The sequence below is a fragment of the Homo sapiens genome, chromosome 7, assembly GCF_000001405.40.
Source record: "Homo sapiens chromosome 7, GRCh38.p14 Primary Assembly".
Classification (NCBI taxonomy): Eukaryota; Metazoa; Chordata; class Mammalia; order Primates; family Hominidae; genus Homo; species Homo sapiens.
Window position 1 is genome coordinate 67,302,554 of NC_000007.14, and position 20,706 is coordinate 67,323,259.

General features: G+C 44.1%; 1 pseudogene across 2 annotated transcripts, besides 2 other annotated features; it reads left to right on the forward strand.

The window, feature by feature from the left end:
• Positions 68-117: an enhancer, noted in NCBI's record as "active region_26092". NCBI's record gives its function as "activates an Ori minimal core promoter by ATAC-STARR-seq in GM12878 lymphoblastoid cells {active_cell/tissue: GM12878}" and the evidence as "EXISTENCE:reporter gene assay evidence [ECO:0000049][PMID:35858748]".
• STAG3L4 (STAG3 cohesin complex component like 4 (pseudogene)) lies at positions 85-18,973 on the forward strand (annotated as a pseudogene). Of its 2 annotated transcripts, NR_040585.1 has the most exons (6): positions 85-332; positions 3,434-3,530; positions 6,024-6,099; positions 6,382-6,586; positions 7,011-7,162; positions 17,550-18,973. The product of NR_040585.1 is annotated as an STAG3 cohesin complex component like 4 (pseudogene), transcript variant 1 (transcript). The 2 variants fall into 2 exon arrangements; NR_040586.1 differs by lacking the exon at positions 6,024-6,099.
• Positions 298-477: a silencer, noted in NCBI's record as "silent region_18220". NCBI's record gives its function as "represses an Ori minimal core promoter by ATAC-STARR-seq in GM12878 lymphoblastoid cells {active_cell/tissue: GM12878}" and the evidence as "EXISTENCE:reporter gene assay evidence [ECO:0000049][PMID:35858748]".
• Positions 18,974-20,706: the final 1,733 nt, after the last annotated feature.

Sequence of the window (20,706 nt, forward strand, 5' to 3'; positions counted from 1 at the left end):
CTATTAGCTCCGTCAAAGGTCGAGTCCGTGACGTCAAAGAGCATGGGCCAATCAGAGCACACCGGACTGCTTTTTTTTTTTTTCCCGAACGACCGCAGCAGGGTCACAAGGGAGATGTCCGCCCCCAGTCGTAGCCTCGGACGGTTTCTGAGCGTTGGTGTTTGGCACGCGCCACCCTCTCTTGCTTTGGTTCCGCCATGCCGATGTACCAGGTAAAACCTTATCACGGGCGCGGCGCGCCTCTCCGTGTGGAGCTTCCCACCTGCATGTACCGGCTCTCTAACGTGCAAGGCAGGAGCGGCGGCCCAGCGCCCGGCGTTGGCCACCTACAGGTAGGAGCGCGGGCCCCTCCTTCCCCCCCACCCCGCGCCAAGTGCGCACGCGCGGCGGCCGGCTGCTGGCCCGAGTCCCCCCGGGCCGGAACGAGTGTGTCCCACCCGGTTTGCGGTCCCACCCGGTTCGCGGTCCCACCCCGGCATTTGTGCCGGCCGGCCAGGGACTCACCCAAACCTTTATGTTTTAAAAGATTTATTCAGGCCGGGCGCCGTGGCTCACGCCTGTAATCCCAGCACTTTGGGAGGCCCAAGCAGGCAGGTCACCTGAGGTCAGGAGTTCGAGACCAACCTGACCAACACGTTGAAGCCTCGTCTCTACTAAAAATACAAAAATCAGCCGGGCGTGTGGCGGGCGCCTGTAATCCCAGCCACTCGGGAGGCTGAGGCAGGAGAATCGTTTGAACCCTGGAGGCGGAGTTTGCAGTGAGCTGAGATCGAGCCATTGCACTCGAGCCTGGGCGACAGAGCTAGACTCCGACTCAAAAAAAAAAAAAAAAAATAGAGACAAGGGTCTCACTATGTTGCTCACGCTGGTCTCAGACTCTCAGGGCTCAAGCAATCCTCTCGCCTCGGTCTCCCAAAGCGCTGAGATACCAGGCGTGAACCACCGCGCCCGACTAGGAAAAAAAAAATATATATATATATATATATATATATATATATATATGTACACGTGTATGTATATATACATATATATACACACGTATATGTATAGATATATACGTATGTGTATATATTTCTTTTATACGTATATATATAACATTTTTGTTTTTTTGAGACATTTTGAGAATAATTTTTTTTTTATATGGCTGCTTAAACATGTTAGTTCAGAGATTCTGCCCTGTGAAAAGTGAATAGCACATAAATGCTCATTTTGAGGAATTACAAAGCGAACTCCAGGGTCACCACCTCCCAGGTTGACACACATTGTCACCGCTCCATTCTTTCCACTTAAACCTTCCCCCCAACCCCCTCAAGGTCCTGATTTTTATGGTAATTATGTTCTATTTGTGTCTATTATTTTGTCACCTAAGTATCCCTAAACAATATAGTCTGGGTTTTTATTTGTTTTTTTTTTTGTTGTTTTTTTCAGACGGAGTTTCACTGTGTCACCCAGGCTGGAGTGCAGTGGTGTGAGCTCGGCTCACTGCAACCTCTGCCTCCCGGGTTCAAGCAGTTCTCCCATCTCAGCCTCCTGAGTAGCTTGGATTACAGGTGCACGCCACCACACCCAACTAATTTTTGTATTTTTAGCAGAGACGGGGTTTCACCATTTTGGCCAGGATGGTCTTGATCTCTTGACCTCATGATCCACCCGCCTCAGCCTTCCAAAGTGCTGGGATTACAGGTGCGAGCCACCATGCCTGGCCTTTTATTTCTTTTTTTGAGCCCATTCTCTCCCTGTTTTATTTTTAAAATTTTATTAAACATAGTCATTTTATAATCTATGATAGATGATTATCTAAAGTGTTTGTGAAATAATTTTGTCAGTGCCTTGTTTCTTTATATGTTTTACTAGGTTTATTGTGAGCCACTCATTTTCCCTGGAGTTCTTTGGGGCCTAGGTCAAAGGTGGGTTTTTTTTTTTTTGAGACCGAGTCTCGCTCTGTCACCCAGGCTGGAGTGCAGTGGTGTGATCTCTGCTCACTGCAAGCTCCGCCTCCCGGGTTCAGGCCATTCTCCTGCCTCAGCCTCCCGAATAGCTGGGACTACAGGCACCTGCAACCATGCTGGCTAAATTTTTGTATTTTTAGTAGAGATGGGGTTTCACCATGTTAGCCAGGATGGTCTCGATCTCCTGACCTCATGATCCGCCTGCCTCGGCCTCCCAAAGTGCTGGGATTACAGGTGTGAGCCACCGCGCCTGGCCCCAAAGGTGGGTTTTCAAGAGAGGAACGTGCTGTTGCTTTGACAGTTGCCTGGGGACACTCCAGAATCACTTTTCTTTTCTTTTTTTTTTTTTTTTGAGACAGGTTCTCATTCTTTCTAGGCTGGAGTGCAGTGGTGCTATCACGGCTCCCTGCTGATTTGACCTCCCTCAGTGGCAAGGTGGTGACCCTCCCACCTCAGCTTCTCGCATAGCTGGGACTATAGGCATGTGCCACCATGCCTGACTAATTATTCTGTTTTTGGTAGACCAGCCTGGGCAACATGAGTTTCACTTTACTTGGGTTACTGCTCCCAGCCTGAATCACTTTTAATTATCTGAATGATTATTCTGGGCTGGGTGTGGTGGCTCATGCCTATAATCCAAGCACTTTGGGAGGCTAAGGTGGGCCTCACTTGAGGTCAGGAGTTCGAGACCAGCCTGGCCAATATGGTGAAACCCTGTGTCTACTAAAAATACAAAAATTAGCCATTAGCCAGGCGTGGTGGCACATACCTGTAATCCCAGCTACTCGGGAGGCTGAAGCAGGAGAATGCTTGAACCTGGGAGGTGGAGGTTGTAGTGAGCTGAGATCTCGCCATTGCGCTCTAGCTTGGGCTACAGAGTGAGACTGTCTCAAAAAAAAAAAAAAACAAAAGGAAAAGATAAAAAAGATTATTCTGATCATGTATGTGGTATGAATCTTGACTGCAAATCCAGATCTGAGCGCTCACTATGGTTATGAATTCTCAAGGAGGAGTTATTTTTTTTCCCCTCCACTGCACCCTCAGGTCATAACAAGCTAGTTTTCTTGCTGTCGCCATCTGCCCTATAGGTTTAGTGTTCAATCTCACTTCCTTGAGGATGTGACTCTTTGCAGGACCCAGCTTTATTTAGGTGCCTCCTCTTGGACTACTCGTCTTGGAAGAAGCTTAGACTCTACCTCCTGTGCTCTGCACTCCATGCAGCCATCTGGATACAAAGTCAGGGTCCCCAGGGATTAATGAAACCTTTAGGGCAAAAGTCAGTTTGCTTACCTCCCAGGGTTGCTACTACACCTCATTTTTGGACTATATGAAATTTTACCTTTCATTCTAGTTCACCAGTACATTGTGAAAGATGTTTTAAATGTTTTACAGAAGTTTAGATGGTTCAACTGGGAAGATCATATAGGATTTCTGTTCTGTTATATTGCCAGAAGTAGAAGTCATCTGTATTTTTTTTTTACTAGTCTTTGGTAGATGAGTGGCTGGATAGCTACAAGCAAGACCAGGATGCAGGATTTCTGGAGCTTGTTAACTTTTTCATCTGATCTTGTGGATGTAAAGGTGAGGAAACTGCTCCCCCTTTCTAATTCCCAGCCTTTTGTTCCTATGTTATGAATTCTTTCTCCATTTAGATAAGTAGGATTAGATATTTCCTAAATAAAGGAAGATAGTAAAGCATTAGAAAAATTTTACTTATTTAGGCTGGGCACTGTGACTCACACCTGTAATCCCAGCACTTTGGGAAGCTGAGGCGGGTGGATCACTTGAGGTCAGGAGTTGAAGACCAGCCTGGGCAACATGGTGAAACCCCTACTAAAATACAAAAAATTATCTGGGTATGTGGCTCATGCCTGTAGAATTGCTTGAACCCAGGAGGTGGAGGTTATAGTGAGCCTGGATAGCGCCACTGCACTCCAACCTGGGCGACAGAGCCAGACTGTCTTCAAAAAAAAAAAAAAGAGAGAGAAAAGTTTCACTTCTTTAACTAAATTTTTTGTTGATAAATACGGGAAGTGATCCAGTAGGGAACCATGTTGGTTTAGAGACAAGAAACTTTGGGGAAAAAGAAGTAATCATGCTTATGTTATGGCACAAATTTGAGGACACCTTTTAGTCTTTCTAGATGCAATAATCTGTTATTTTCTTACTCTTTATTTCCCAGCTACTTTGCCCATATTTCTCCTCTGTAGCTGTGGTACCCCCAGAACTCTTACTGCCATGGCTTGATTTATTGGGACAGATGGTCTCAGTCAGGTTGTATTATATAAGAAATCAGCGTCTGGCTTAGTTTTATTACTCTCTTTTGTTTTGTTTTGTTTTGTTTTTGTTTTTGTTTTTGAGACAGAATCTCACTCGATTGTCCAGGCTGGAGTGCAGTGGCACGATCTGGGCTCACTGCAACCTCTACATCCTGGGTTTAAGTGATTCTCATGCCTCAGCCTCTCAAGTGGCTGGGATTACAAGCATGTGCCACCATATGTGGCTAATTTTTTTTTTTTTCTTTGAGACGGAGTCTGGCTCTGTCGCCCAGGCTGGAGTCCAGTGGCACAATCTCGGCTCACCGCAACCTCCGCATCCCAGGTTCAAGTGATTCTTCTGCCACAGCCTCCTGAGTAGCTGGGACTACAGGTGTGCACCACCATGCCTAGCTAATTTTTGTATTTTTAGTAGAGACAGGGTTTCACCATATTGGCCAGGCTGGTCTTGAACTCCTGACCTCGTGATCCGCCCATCTCACCCTCCCAAAGTGCTGGGATTACAGGCTTGAGCCACTGCGCCCGGCCTACGTGGCTAATTTTTGTATTTTTAGTAGAGATGGGGTTTCGCCAGGCTGGTCTTGTACTCCTGACCTCAGGTGATTCACCTGCCTCGGCCTCCCAAAGTGTTGGGATTACAGGCGTTAGCCATCGCGCCTGGCCTGTTTTGTTGTTGTTGTTGTTTTGTTGTTGTTTATTTTGGGGCACAGTTTTTCACTGCTTGATTCCTTTTTTTTTTTTAAACAAATCCTGCCTCAGGTTTATTTGTACAAATAGTGCAGGAGGACACCAGTCCTTCTGTCCTCACGTTGGCAGACAGAGATCTCTACTCTGAAGCCTTTGTACAGGCCTGGGCACCTTTGGGAGCCTGAGCTGGAACTGAAGCTGGAGCTGCAGCCTGGGCCTTCATTTGATCCTTGGCCTTTGGCTGGTACAGTCTGAGCCCCTTGGCATTGTGGGCACAAGCATGCTTCTCAAGCTTGGGGTGGGCAGTGTAGGCAAGTGGGCTTAACGTCCTTGGGCTTTACGAGGGGCTCGATAGCCTCGGCATGTACACCCATGACCCTGGCATTGTTGCCCTGCATCTTCTTTTTTTTTTTGTTTTGCTTTTTTTGTTTTGAGACAGAGTCTCACTTGTTGCCCAGGCTGGAGTGCAGTAGTGCGATCTCAGCTCACTGCAACCTCTGCCTCCCGGGTTGAAGCAATTCTCCTGCCTCAGCCTCCCGAGTAGCTGGGATTACAGGCACCCGCCACTACGCCCAGCTCATTTTTTCCATTTTTAGTAGAGAACTGGGTTTCATCATGTTGGCCAGGCTGGTCTAGAATTCCTGACCTTGTGATTCTCCTGCCTCGGCCTCCCAAAGTGCTGGGATTACAGGCTTGACCGACTGCGCCCGGCCAGCCTGCATCTTCTTTAGGCCCTTCTTGTTGTGCTTCTTGGCAAAGCACATATTCCTCAGGAACTTGGGGTCCATCCCCTTAAGAGAGTTGTATCTTTGTGATTGGGGTTTCTTGATGCCATTTCTGTGTAATTTTCAGCCTGGTTGTGTGAGGTGTGGTTTTTGGATTTGGCCGTGTCTACACCATAACCTATGGCTCCCTTCCTTTGGGTTTTTAGAGAGATTGCCTTATAGCAGATACACAGTTGGATGTTGGCAGACCGTTGACCAGGGGGTCTTTTGATTCCCCACCTAAGCTCTTTGCACAGTGTTTCCTTGCTCATATTCAGGTATATCTGTAAATGATCACAGCATCCTGTTATTTTCCTCGTAAGCACCTCATATCCTTCATTCTTTAGGCACTGTGAGCCCTGAGATGTTCAAGAAGATGTCCAACTCAGAGATCATCCAGCACCTAACAGAGCGTTTAATGAGGTGGAAGAAGATGACCAGGATCCTCTTACCCCTCTTATTTCAAAACACAATGCCTATTATCCCCTTCTTTTTGATTCTGTGAAATAGGGTAGCTTTTAGAAGGTGGAGTTCAGTCTCTTGGGGGTAAAAGAGATCTGAATATGCCTCTCAAACTGGGGAGACAGCTAGGAAATGAAGCATAACAGATATTTTTACTAGACTGTTGGGTTTTGACATCCAAGCCCCTATGACTTCATATACCTGGTCATAACTTTCCCATCCTTTTCATACATCCTTTTGTAGGACTCGGGGGACTATCCTCTGACAGCTCCAGGTCTATCCTGGAAGAAGTTCCAGGGCAGCTTCTGTGAGTTTGTGGGGACATTGGTCTGTCGGTGCCAGTACATCCTCCTCCATGATGACTTCCCTATGGACAACCTCATCTCCCTGCTCACTGGCTTCTCAGACTCACAAGTCTGCGCCTTCTGTCACACTAGCACCCTGGCTGGTGAGCATTCATTTTCATTCCGGACATTCTTCTGGGGATTTATAGGACTTTCCTCTGTTCTCTGATTCAGGGTCTTCTTTCCTACCTGTGTCTTGGCTCTTCACTTCAAGGCCATGCCTCTTTTATCCTAAACTTCAATCCAGTTTCTCACTGGTGGAGTTTTGAGAAGGGGTAGATCACAGCAACAATTTCCAGGCTTAGTATTTTTGTCAGAGCTCACCACTAGGGTATGCTGATGGTTAAAAGAAGACCACAAGGGTTAGAGGGAAACAGTCCACTCCAGGACAGGCAGTCAGGATTTTAGGGTCACCTACCTCTGGCTTCTCATTTTTATTGCCCTTCTTTCCTTCTATTTTTCCTTCTACTCATCCTCTCTCCTCTGACCTCAGTAATGATTTCTTTATCTCTTTTTCCTTACTCAAAGCTATGAAACTGATGACCTCCCTGGTAAGAGTTGCCCTCCAACTGAGTCTGCACGAAGATATCAATCAGCGTCAGTATGAGGCTGAAAGAAACAAGGGGCCAGGGCAGAGGGCACCTGAGCGGCTGGAGAGCCTGTTGGAGAAACACAAAGAGGTGAGGAGTGTTCCCTGCTTCTTCCTTCCCTTTTTCCCAACTTGCACCCACTTCTGCCACAGACCCCCTTATCAGGCCCTGGGCAGTCTTTCAAGATCATGAATAACGGAGTCTGGCAATAGTTTCATAGACCCATCCTGTAAGGGCTCATTGCAATGCTCACCTTTTTTCTGGGTTGTGGGCTCAACAAATAATGTGTAATTTAGAGTTCTCTCGAATTCCACTTTTGCTCAGTTTTTCTTTGTCAGCACTTATTGTCAGAAGAGTTTAAGTGCTGTACCTGCCTGTCATGCAAGGAATTAAGTTTTGACCTACTCGTCAAGTGTGCAGTGTGCAAGTGACCGCAGGAGTACTAAAAGCCAACCATTGACAAGGGAGGCCAAATTTTCAAGGAATGGAAAGAGCACAGGCCTTCCAGTGAACTCCTGGCTTTAAATTCTGTTCCATTTAGTCACTAGCTCCATAGCCTTATGTAACCTCTCTTCAGTTTTCTTTTCTTTAAAGAAAGGGATAATCTCACCTTTTTGTGAAGAATAAATGAGATGATGAGTAAATTGCCTCACTTGGCACATAGTAGTTTTGTTTCCTTTTAAACTTAAAGATGACCACTGGAGGGCATAAGCCATAGCAAAATCTTTGACACTGATGAAATCTTTAATCAGCTGGGTCTGTCATAAGAGTAACACTACTGTTTTTCTCCTTACTTTCTGTTAGTGTCTGAGACCCCTCCTATGAGGTTGGCAGGACTCACCATGTCTGACCATATCATTTGGCTATTTCTCTAGCCCTCACAAAAGGTCTCTTCCATTCTAAATCATTAGAGAAGGAAACTTTCTACTTCTCTCATTCTCTTTTGTTATTTTTAATTGTCAGTTTGATCTTAAAAGCTTATGTGTATTAATCTATCCTGGATTTTAAATTATGTACACTGTGAATCTTTCTTTTATTTTTCTTATTCTTTCTTTTTTTTTTGGCTTCTCTGGGCTCTTGCTTAGTCAATTATCATTGTAATTCCCCCATTTTATCCTTAATTTCTTCCTCCCCACTATTTTCTTCTCTCCACTTATAAATGTATATAGGCTCTTGAATCTTTATTTGACTCTGCTCCTCTGTGAATTACTCTTTTTTTCCATCCTTCCTTTTAGGGTAGTATTTCCTTACTTCCTTAATGTCCAACTAACTGAATCCTTTTTGCTACCTAGCTTATTTTCCCATTTTTCTTTGAAACTGTTCTTTCCAAACCAATGACTTCCTAATTCCTAAAGCCAGTAGCCTTTTCTCAGTCTCCCTTTCCCAAATATTTCACATATTTGCTTCACCTGTTTTTGCTATGTTACTGTAAAATATGGACATATAGGTACTTCAGCCGTAAAGACTTAAGTATGTCTTGTCGAAAATGATATGTTGTTCTTACATAATTGAAGAGGTGGGGTCTGTTGTCTTAAAGAATGTTCCCTTTCTCCTTATAATTCTGGTTCTTTGGTGTCTATTGTTCATGTGATCCAGGATTTTTCAACAATGGCACTACGGACATTGCGGGGCTGTCCTGCCGTGGTGGGATGTTTAGCAGCATCTCTGGCCTTTATCTACTAGATAGATACCAGTAGTACCCTGCTCCCCCACCAAGTTCAGGTAGCCAAAAAAATCTTTAGACACTGCTAAATCTCCCCTGGGGAACAGAATTAGCCTCAGTTGAGAACCACTGATCTAATTCCTTTCTTCTTATTTTTGCTGGTTCCACTACTATTAAACAAACTGCACTTACTAAAAATTTGTTTTCCAAATTGTTAGAAACATATACGGGCATCATACCTGGAAGATCTTGCAGGTTCAGTTCCAGATCACCACAATAAAGTGAATATTGAAGTACAGTGAGTCACACAGTCAAAAAATCAAAATTTTTATTTCTCAGTGCATATGAAAGTAATGTTTACACTGTAGTCTCTTAAGTGTGCAAGACTATTGTCTAAAAAACATGTATGTACCTTAATTTAAAAATATTTTATTGCTAAAAAATGCTAATGGCAATCTGAACCTTTAGCGAGTTACATCTTTTTGTTGGTAGAGGGTCTTGCTTCCATGTTGATGGCTGCTGACTAATCAGGGTAGTGGTTGCTGAAGGTTAGGGTGGCTGTAGCAATTTCTTAAAGTAAGACAACAGTGAAGTTTGCTGCATCTGTTGACTCTTCCTTTTACAAAAGATTTCTCTGTAACATGAAATGCTGTTTGATGACATTTTACCCACAATAGAAATTCTTTCAAAACAAGAGTCAATTCTCTCAAGCCCTGGTGCTGCTTTATCAGCTAAGTTTAGGTCATAGTCTGAATCATTTGTTGTCATTTCAACAATATTCACAACCTCTTCACCAGGAATAGATTCCATTTGAGGAAACCACTTTCCTTGCTCATCCGTAAGAAGCAATTCCTTATTTGTTCAAGGTCATGAAGTTGCAGCAATTCAGCCACATCTTCAGTTTCTACTTCTAGTTCTCTTGCTGTTTCCACTGCATCTGTAGTTACTTCCTCTACTGAAGTCTTAAACCTCTCAAAGTCATCCGTGAGGGTTAGAATCAACTTAAGTCTTGTTAATGTTGATATTTCGACCTCCTCCCATGAACCACAAATGTTCTTTATGGCATTTAAAATGGTGAATCCCAGCCAGGCACAGTGGCTCAAACCTGTAATCCCAGCACTTTGGGAGGCTGAGGTAGGTGGATCACGTGAGGTCAGGAGTTTGAGACCAGCCTGACCAACATGGCAAAAACCCATCTCTACTAAAAATACAAAAATTAGCCAGGTGTGGTGGTGCATGTTTGTAATCCCACCTACTTGGGAGGCTGAAGCAGGAGAATTGCTTGAACCCAGGAGGCAGAGGTTGCAGTGAGCCAAGATCACACCACTACACTCTAGCCTGCGCTACAGAGCAAGACTCCATCTCAAAAAGAAAAGAAGAGAAGAGAAAAGAAAAGAAAGGAAGAAATGAAATGAAATGGAATGATGAAATGAAATGAAATGAAATAAATAAATAAATGAAATGAAATGAAATGAAATAATGAAATGAGATGAAATGAAGAATCCTTCCCAGATGGGGGGTTGGCTTTTTCTGGTTTTTGTATTTTGTTTTGAAGACAGGGTCTCGCTCTCTTGCCTAGACCGGAATGCACTGGTGCAGTCATGGCTCACCGCAGCCTCAACCTCCTGTGCTTGAGTGATGTTCCTGCCTTATCCTCCCAAGTATCTGGGACTACAGATTGCATACCACACCTGGCTAGTTTTTGTTTTGTTTCTGTAGAGGCAGGGTCTCACTATGCTGCCCAGGCTAGTCTTGAACTCCTGGGCTTAATCAGTCCTCCCACCTCAGCCTCCCAAAAAGTTGGGATTGTAGGCATGAGCCACCATGCCTAACCCCAGGAGGTTTTAGATGGACTTTGCCCAAATCATCAGAGAAATCACTGTGGCAGCTATAGCCTTATGAAATATATTTCTGAAATAATAAGACTTGAAAGTTGAAATTACTCCTTGTTCCATGGGCTGCAAAATGGATGTTGTGTTAGTGGGCATGAAAAAAGCAACATGGATCTCCTTGTACATCCTCACCAGAGCTCGTGGGTGACCAGGTGCCTTATCACTGAGCAGTAATATTTTGAAAGGAATCTTGTTTTCTGAGCAGTAGGTCTCACCCATGTGCTTAAAATATTCAGGAAACCATGCTGTGAACAGATGTGATATCATTAAGCTTTGTTGTTTCATTTATAGAGCATAGGCAGAGTAGATTTAGCATAATTCTTAAGAGCCTTAGGATTTTTAAAATGGTAAATGAGTATTGGCTTCAACATAAAGTCACCAACTGCATTAGCCCCTAACAAGGAGTCAGGCTGTCCTTTGACGCTTTGAAGCCAGGCATTGACTTCTCCTCAATAGCTGTGAAAGTCCTAGGTGGCATTTTCCAATATAAGGCAGTTTAGTCCACACTGAAAATTCATTGTTTAGTGTAGCCACCTTCATCAATGATCTTAGCTAGATTTTCTTGATAACTTGTTGCTTCTCTATCAGTATTTGCTGCTTCACCTTGTACTTTTATGTTATGGAGAGGGCTTCTTTTCTTAAACCTCATGAACTAACTTCTAGCTTCAAACTTTTCTTCTGTGGCTTCCTTACTTTGCTCAGCCTTCATAGAATGGAAGACAGCTAGGATGTTGATCTGGATTGGGCTTTGGCCGAAGGGAATGTTGTGGCTGGTTTGATCTTCTGTTCCGACTACTAAAACTGTCTCTATATCAGCAATAAGACTGTTTAACTTTCTTACCCTTTGTGTGTTCACTGGAGTAGCGTTTTTAATTTCTTTCAAGAATTTTTCTTTTGCATTCACAACTTGGCTGTTTGGCACAAGAGGCCTAGCTATTGATTGGCCTGTCTTGGCTTTCAACTAAGCTTAATCATTTCTTTTTTTTTTTTTTTTTTTTTGTCTTTTTGAGATAGTGTCTCGCTTTGTTGCCCAGGCTAGAGTGCAATGGCGTGATCTCGGCTCACTGCAACCTCCGCCTCCCAGGTTCAAGCGATTCTCCTGCCTCAGCCTCCTGAGTAGCTGGGATTATAGGTGCCTGCCACCGTGCCCGGCTAATTTTCTGTTTTTAGTAAAGACAGGGTTTCGCCATGTTGGCCAGGCTGGTCTCAAACTGACCTCAAGTGATTTGCCACCTCGGCCACCTAAAGTGCTGAGAATATAGGTATGAGCCACCACGCCTGGCCTCTAAGCTTAATCATTTCTAGCTTTTGATTTAAAATGAGAAACATATGACTCTTCCTTTCATTTGGATACTTAAGAGGGTTATTAATTGACCTAATTACAATACTTTTATGTCTCAAGGAATGAATAGGGAGGCCTGAGGAGAGAGACAGAGACAGGGAAGCTTGTTGGTAGGGTAGTCAGAACACAGACAACATTTGTTAAGTTTGCCATCTTATATGGGCATGGTTCGTGGTACCCCAAAACAGTTATAGTAGTAACATCAGGCTGGGTGTGATGGCCCATGCCTGTAATCCCAGCATTTTGGGAGGCCAAGGCGGGTGGAGACCTTGAGGTCAGGACTTCAAGACCAGACTGGGCAACATGGCAAAACCCCTTCTCTACAAAAAAATACAAAAATTACTGGGGCATGGTGATGCATGCCTGTAGTTGCAGCTACTTGGGAGGCTGAGGTGGGGGGGATCACTTGAGCCCAGGAGGTTGAGGCTGCAGTAAGCCGTGTTTGCACCATTGCACTCCAGCCTGGGTGACAGAATGAGAACCTGCCTCTGACAAAAAAAAAAAAAAAAAAAAAAAGTTATTTTTCTCCACTAAGACTTGGAATGGTTTGCTGGGTAGCAATGGATATAGCTGACACATCCCCACATCCCTCACCTTCTCTCACTATGTGGGGTGTACCCAGTCTCTGGCTTCTAATGTCGAGGGCCTCCAACTTGACACTTCTAGCTCAGAGTATGTTCTTAAGGCCTTGCCTCACTTATAGAACTTCCTAGTGGTTAGCTATGATGCATGGCAAACACATCTGACAACAGTAACATCAGCATACCTTGAAAATGACCCCATGGTCTTAAGAAGAGTATGTGTTGAAAATTCTAAGCTAAGGAATCCAGGAGTGGCCAACCCAGAGATTCATTTCTTATCTGTGAGGAACATCTGAACCCCTGGACCATCTAGGGGATGGTGGCCTTTGTTTGGGGTTCAGTGAAGGTTTGCCAGAGGGAGGGTGCTAGGGGGAGGGTGCTAAGTGGAAATGCTCTATAAACTGCATGCTTTTTTTTTTTTTTTTTTTTTGAGACAGAGTCTTGCTCTGTCACCCAGGCTGGAGTGCAGTGGCACAATCTCGGCTCACTGCAAGCTCTGCCGCCTGGGTTCACACCATTCTCCTGCCTCAGCCTCCCGAGTAGCTGGGACTACAGGCACCTCCCACCACGCCTGGCTAATTTTTTGTATTTTTAGTAGAGATGACGGGGTTTCACCATGTTAGCCAGGATGGTCTCAATCTGACCTTGTGATCCGCCCACCTTGGCCTCCCAAAGTGCTGGGATTACAGGCGTGAGCCACCACGCCCGGCCCAACTGCATGCTTTTTGTAAGCAGGTGTGATTCTCCTGTTCCACCTGCCATGTCTGGACTACCCTGTAAGTCCCCTTAATAAACCCTATGTCTTGCCTGCTGGCCAGGCATGATGGCTCATGCCTGTAATCCAAGGACTTTGGGAGGCCAAGACAGGCAGATCACTTGAGGTCAGGAGCTTGAGACCAGCCTGGCCAACATGGTGAAAACTCCATCTCTACTAAAAATACAAAAAAAAAATTAGCTGGGTGTTGTGGCATGCACCAATAATCCCAGCTACTTAGGGGGCTGAGGTAGAAGAATCTCGAACCGGGGAAGCAGAGGTTGCAGTGAGCCGAGATCACGCCATTGCACTCCAGCCTGGGCAACTAGACTCTGTCTCAAAAGACAAACAAACAAACAAAAACAGACCAGGCACAGTGGCTCATGCCTGTAATTACAGCACTTAGGGAGGCAGAGGCAGGTGGATCGTCTGAGGTCAGAAATTTGAGACCAGCCTGGTCAACATCGTGAAACCCTGTCTGTACTAAAAATACAAAAATTAGCAGGGCATGGTAGTGAGCGACTGTAATCTCAGCTACTCGGGAGGCTGAGGCAGGAGAATTGCTTGAACCCGGGAGTTGGAGGTTGCAGTGAGCTGAGATTGAACCACTGACTCCAGCCTGGGCAGTAGAGTGAGACTCCATCTCGAAAAAACAAAACAAAACAAACACAACAGAAATGAGAAAACAAAACCCGGCCAGGTGCGGTGGCGCAACACCTGTAATCCCAGGACTTTGGAAGTCCGAGGCAGGTGGATCACGAGGTCAGGAGTTTGAGACCAGCCTGATCAACATGGTGAAACCCTAGCTCCACTAAAAATACAAAAAACAGCTGGGCATGGTGGCAGGCGCCTGTAATCCCAGCTACTCAGGAGGCTGAGGCAGGAGTATCGCTTGAACCTGGGAGGCAGAGGTTGCAGTGAGCTGAGATTGTACCACTGCACTCCAGCCTGGGTGACGGAGCAAGACTCCGTCTCAAAAAAAAAAAAAAAAAAGAAGAACAGAATGTTCTAGGCATTTTAAAAATACATTTTATTTATTTTAGTATGTATTCATTTATTTTTGAGATGAAGTCTGGCTCTCTTGCCCAGGTTGGAGTGCAGTGGCGAGATCTCGGCTCACTGCAACCTCTGCTTCCTGGGCTCAAAGCACCCTCCCACTTCAGCCTCCTGAGTAACTGGGACTACAGGTGCCTGCCACCATGCCTGGCTAACTTTTGTATTTTTTGTAGAGATGAGGTTTCGCAATGTTGCCTAGACTGGTCTCCAACTCCTGGGCTCAAGTGATTCTCCTGCCTTGGCCTCCCCAAATGCTGGGATTACCGGTGTACCCACCACACCTGGCCTCTGGGCAGATTTTTATGTTTTTATTTTTAATTTTTAATGGTTTTTTTTGGTATCTAAAATACCAAAATGCCATTCTGTCACCCAGGCTGGAGTGCAGTGGCATGATCTTGGCTCACTGCAACCTCCGCCTCTTCGTTTCAAGCAATTCTCCTGCCTCAGCCTCCTGACTACAGACACGTGCCACTGTACCTGGATAATTTTGTATTTTTAGGAGAGATGGAGTTTCACCATGTTGGCCAGGCTGGTCTCAAACTCTTGACTTCAAGTGATCTGCCTGCCTCGGCCTCCAAAACTGCAGGGTTTACAGGCCTGAGCCACTGTGCCCAGCCTAGGATTTCTTTGTCTTCTTCCAGTAAGTGTTAGTTCAAGCTCTCCTCTCCCCACTGTTGTTTCTTATCAAGGCCCTCAGCAATCTTCTAAAAACCATATTATAGATCTAAAATTGCTTTTCAATTCTGGAATTCAAAAAGGTCTGGAGGCTGGGCGAGGTGGCTCACTCTGGTAATCCCAGCAGTTTGGGAGGCTGAGGCAGGAGGAGGGCTGGAAGTCAGGTGTTCAAGACCAGCTTGAGCAACATAGCAAGATCCTTGTCTCTACATCTCTACAAACAAAAAATTAGCTGGGTGTGGTGGCATTCACATGTAGTTTCAGCTATTCAGGAGGCTGAGGCAGGAGGATTGTTTGAGCCCAGGAGTTCGAGGATGCAGTGAGTTATGATTGCACCACTGCACTCCAGCCTGGGTGACAGAGTGAGACTCTCTCTCTTAAAAAAAGAGGAGGCATGGGTGGGCATGGTGCTCACGCCTGTAATCCCAGCTCTTTGGGAGGCCGAGGTGGGCGGATCACTTGAGCTCAGGAGTCCAAGACCAGCCTGGCCAACATGGTAAAACCCCGTCTCTACTAAAAATACAAAAATTAGGCAGGCTTGGTGGTGGGCACCTGTAATCCCAGCTACTAGGGAGGCTGAGGCAGGGGGATAGCTTGAACCTGGGAGGTTGCAGTGAGCCGAGATGGTGCCTCTGCACTCCAGCCTGGGTGACAGAGTGAGACCCTGTCTCAAAATTAAATAAATAAATAAATGAAATAAAACTGTGGACCTCCGTACCATAGACTCTGCAGCCATGAAAAGTGAGGAAGCCTTCCTGCACCCACAGAGGCCAATCTCCAAGATATATCATTAGTGAGAAAAGTGAGGTGCTGAACAGTGTAAATGGCATACAGTTTGTGTAAAAATAATTATATGGCCAGGCACGGTGGCTCACCCCTGTAATCCCAGCACTCTGGGAGGCCGAGGTGGGCGGATCACGAGGTCAGGAGATCGAGACCATCCTGGCTAACACGGTGAAACCCCGTCTTTACTAAAAATACAAAAAATTAGCCGGGCGTGGTGGTGGGTGTCTGTAGTCCCAGCTACTCAGGAGGCTGAGGCAGGAGAATGGCGTGAACCCGGGAGGTGGAGCTTGCAGTGAGCCGAGATCATGCCACTGCACTCCAGCCTGGGTGACAGAGCGAGACTCCGTCTCAAAAAAAAAAAAAATTGTATACACCCAGATGTGAATGTATATGCATAACCGTTTCAGAGAATGCACACAAGAAATTGGAAACAGCTCTTCCCTCAGGAGAACAAACCAACGTGGCTGCGAGACAGGAGAGAAACATGAAATTCTAACAGCTTACTCTTTTGTACCTTTGGAATTTTGTATATGTGCATTCCTCATTTGAATAAATAGACATCTTTTTTTTTTTTTTTTTTTGAGACAGAGTTTCCCTTTTGTTGCCCAGGCTGGAGTACAGTGGTGTGATCTCAGCTCACTGCAACCTCCGCCTTCTGGGTTCAAGCGATTCTCCTGCCACAGCCTCCTGAGTACCTGGGATTACAGGTGCCTGCCACCATGCCTGGCTAATTTTTGCATTTTTAGTAGAGACAGGGTTTCCCCATGTTGGCCAGGCTGGTCTTGAACTCCTGACCTCAGGTGATCCACCCTCTTGGCCTCCCAAAGTGCTGGGATTACAGGCATGAGCCACTGCACCCAGCCAGTATTTTATATTTTTTTGAGACAGGGTCTTGCTCTGTCACCCAGGCTGAAGTGCAGTGGTGCAATCACAGCTCACTGCAACCTCCCCCTCCCGGGTTCAAGCGATTCTCCTGCCTCAGACTCCCAAGTAGCTGGGATTACAGGTGTGTGCCACCATGCCCAGCTGATTTTTGTATTTTTAGTAGAGATGGCGTTTCACCATGTTAGCCAGGCTGGTCTCAATCTCCTGACCTCAGGTGATCTACCTGCTGCCTTCGAAAGTGCTGGGATTATAGGCATGAGCCACTGGCTTCGGCCAGGAAATACTATTGGAACCCTGCTACTGAAAGTGTGGCCCATGGACCAGGAGCTTGGGCATTATCGGGAGCTTGTTAGAAATTCAGAACCTTGGGCCCTATAGCCCAGACTCCACCTTTTTTTTTTTTTTTTAAGAAGGAGTCCTACCCTGTAGCGCAGGCTTGAGTGCAGTGGCACAATCTCGGCTCACTGCAACCTCTGCCTCTTGGGTTCAAGTGATTCTCCTGTCTCAGCCTCCCAAGTAGCTGGGACTACAGGCATGAGCCACCGCGCCTGGCTAATTTTTGTATTTTTAGAAGAGACAAAGTCTCATGTTGGCCAGCTTGGTCTTGAACTCCTGACCTCAAGTGACCTGCCTGCCTCAGCCTCCCAAAGTGCTGGGATTACAGGTGTGAGCCATGGCGCCCAGCCCAGATGCCACAATTTAAAAGGGTTACTTTCCTGGGTCAAGCTGCCTTTTTTGGGGGTCATTAGGGAAGGAATGGATGTGTGCTCTACGGGTTCTTAGAATAGCAATGAACCTTCATAATCAGACTCATTCCTTAATTTTGCTTACTTTTTCATGCAGCTGCATTAATACTACATTGTCAAAGACAAAGACGAACATGAGACATGCGATATGAGTTTTAAAAGGAGAGAAGAGCAAAAAAACAATACAGCTATCCAAGGAGCAAGTGCTGAGCTTGTGAAAAAACAGCTTCTATTTTATTAAATAATAGTGTTCCTGCAGGGATGTCTGAAGTACTCTGCAAGGCTAATTAGGACAGATCAATGTACACTTACCTCTCCAGAAGGCTGAAAGGTGTGTAGTGACTATGTGTCATTAAAAATTTACTTGACCATGGGCAACAGATGTCCATGAAAGAATGACCCTGGTGAGTGCTCTAAGTTTTCATTTTACTCATGTCATCCTCAATGCATCATAAATGCCATAGACACCATTACTATCACGTAGGCTCATAGCAGCTGATGTGCTGTATATGCTTGAGAGGGTGGTATCAATTAACTATATTATCTATAAAGCCATACTTGCAATTACTACCACTTCACAATTTATCATTAACGCATTTGGCAGATTTTTTTTTCTCCAAAGTAACATTTATTTAAAGGTTTATCAAAATTCTTAGAACAGCATTTATTATAATGTGATTTTTGATAATTGACTAAATCAGTGGCTCTTAAAAACACCCTCATCTCAGTCCCGCTCAGTATACACCACAGTGCCATTTGGGGAAAAGAAATACATATTAGAAATGTTCATTTCAGACCTCGTCATGGAAGATCATATATTAATGTAATCAGGTGGTACGTTTACATGCTCATTAGTAATCCATCATTAGTCCAAATGCTCACTATTAGGAATAAATGTACAACGAGTTATTCAGAATACCCAGAAAGAGTATTTCTTATTTAAACATTCAGGACAAGCTGACTGAAATAAGTGCACACCTTGAATTTGAACTTTCAAGGCACATCACTAAAGTCAATCAGTTATGTCAGGACACTCTTCTATAATAATCTCAATTATAAAATTCCTGCCTCTCCCTAACACAGGAGTTGGAGGGAGTTCCAATATCTGAATCTTTCTAATTCACTGTAACTGCAAAAAAATCTTGATGAAGTGTGTATTTAAATTTCATGCCTTAATACATAGCATGCCACTAAAACCACATTAGTTATGCTTTATGCTGCTTAATCATACGTCAAAATCTGTAAAATCTGCTCTTGCATGCTAAGGTAATTTAACTGCAATTAATCAATTAAGAAAAATAAAATGTAATAAATGCCAAATAATGTAACTTCTTTTAAACAGACCACTATCTACACATTTATTCCCCAAATACTTATTAGCTGACACCATATAAGGAAAACATAATAAAAAGTAGACTTCACTGAGCCTTTCTCCCATTAGTAGCTTGCTCTAAACTTACAAATGTTTTAGAGAATTCTTTGGCATGATCTGACTTTCCAACTAAAATGTGAGCAACTTGAGGGTCAAACTTATCTTTTTTTATCCCCTGTGCCCAACACAATGTGTTAATCATAATAGGTGGTCAGTTTGTTGAATGAAAGAATTGAATGATTCAAATATCATGAACTAAATTATTTTATCATAATGTTTATGAACTACAACAATACTTATGTTTTTTCTTCTGACAACTATATATTATACTTCATTGGCATTTAACTAAAAGTAGTAGTACACTCTTAGTTAACTTTTTCGTTTTTTTCATAGAGTCAGTTAGGTTTCATAGAACCATCAAGGTAGGTTGGTAGATATATTTGTTTGTATTTGTTCCTCTAAATGAAAATGGTGATTTTTTTTCAAATATGTAATTTAACAACTTGATGAACATAGTTGCGGACTAAGACTTGGGAGGCTACTTATAAGTTATGAGTCCAGCTGGCAAGAATTTATTAAGCACCAACTGAATAAACCAAACTATGCTAGCAGCTAAAAATATATGAAAGGATATATTAAAAAAGAAAACCATGTCCTGCCTTCCAGACCTTAAATCAGAGAAGGTACATACATGTGCATTCAACAAACGTTACTGACTACACTTTACACCATGCAAGGCACTAAAAGGGAGGAGGACAGCCAACAAGTCTCAGTTCTCAACAAGAAGCTAAAAAAGAAATTAACAAGTAACTGCATGCCAAGCACAAAGTCATGAATATCACTGAAAAATTACAAACTGATTCCCTTTGAAGCCTCGGGAAAGAAAGCAGGTGAAATCATGGAAGTCTTAAGGAAGTAGGTGCCATTAAAAATAGTTCAAGAGAATTTCCCTGATTACATAAATTAGTGAATTCACTAGTGATGAAGGCATTGAAAGTAAAGGTCCAGAGGTTTTCAGAGTAAGTTACTCACTTTCTTAAAAACAGCAATCTGTTTGTTCATCTCATCAAGTTAGTTTGGTGACATAAAAAAATTATAACTTCTGAATTAATGGCCATTCAGTATGAAGAACACTGAAGAAATTTCCTTTCATGGTTCCTGATGGTAATTGTAGCTGAGGAATCTCAAGACTGCAAGTATCACAAGAATATTTTAACAATCAGGAGGTGCCCTCCTACCGTTGCACCACTTGCCGCATTGTGGAAGGCCACACTGCAATACAGTAGCCCCTGACCACATGTGGCTATTGAGTACTTGAAATGTAACTTTCTCAAACTGAGTTGTGCCATTGGTGTAAAATACACACTGCACTTCAAAGATTTATTTTATTTTTATTGAGACGGAGTCTCGCTCTGTTGCCCAGGCTGGAGTGCAGTAGCACAATCTCGGCTCACTGCAACCTCCGCCTCCCAGGTTCAGGTGATTCCCCTGCCTCAGCCTCCTGACTAGCTGGGACTACAGGCACGTGCCACCACGCCTGGCTAATTTTTTTTTTTTTTTTGTATTTTTAGTAGAGACGGGGTTTCACTGTGTTAGCCAGGATGGTCTTGATCTCCTGACCTCGTGATCCTCCCGCCTTGGCCTCCCAAAGTGCTAAGATTACAGGTGTGAGCCACCGTGCCCAGCCCGAAGATTTATTTTTTAAATAATATAAAATACGTCCATAGTTTTATATCGATCACCTGTTGATATAATAAGATTTGGGGGTATATTGACTAGAATGCATATATCATTAAATTATTTTCACATATATCTTTTTACTTTTTACTGTGGATACTAGGAAATTTAAAATCATATATGTGGCTCACATATTTCTCTTGGA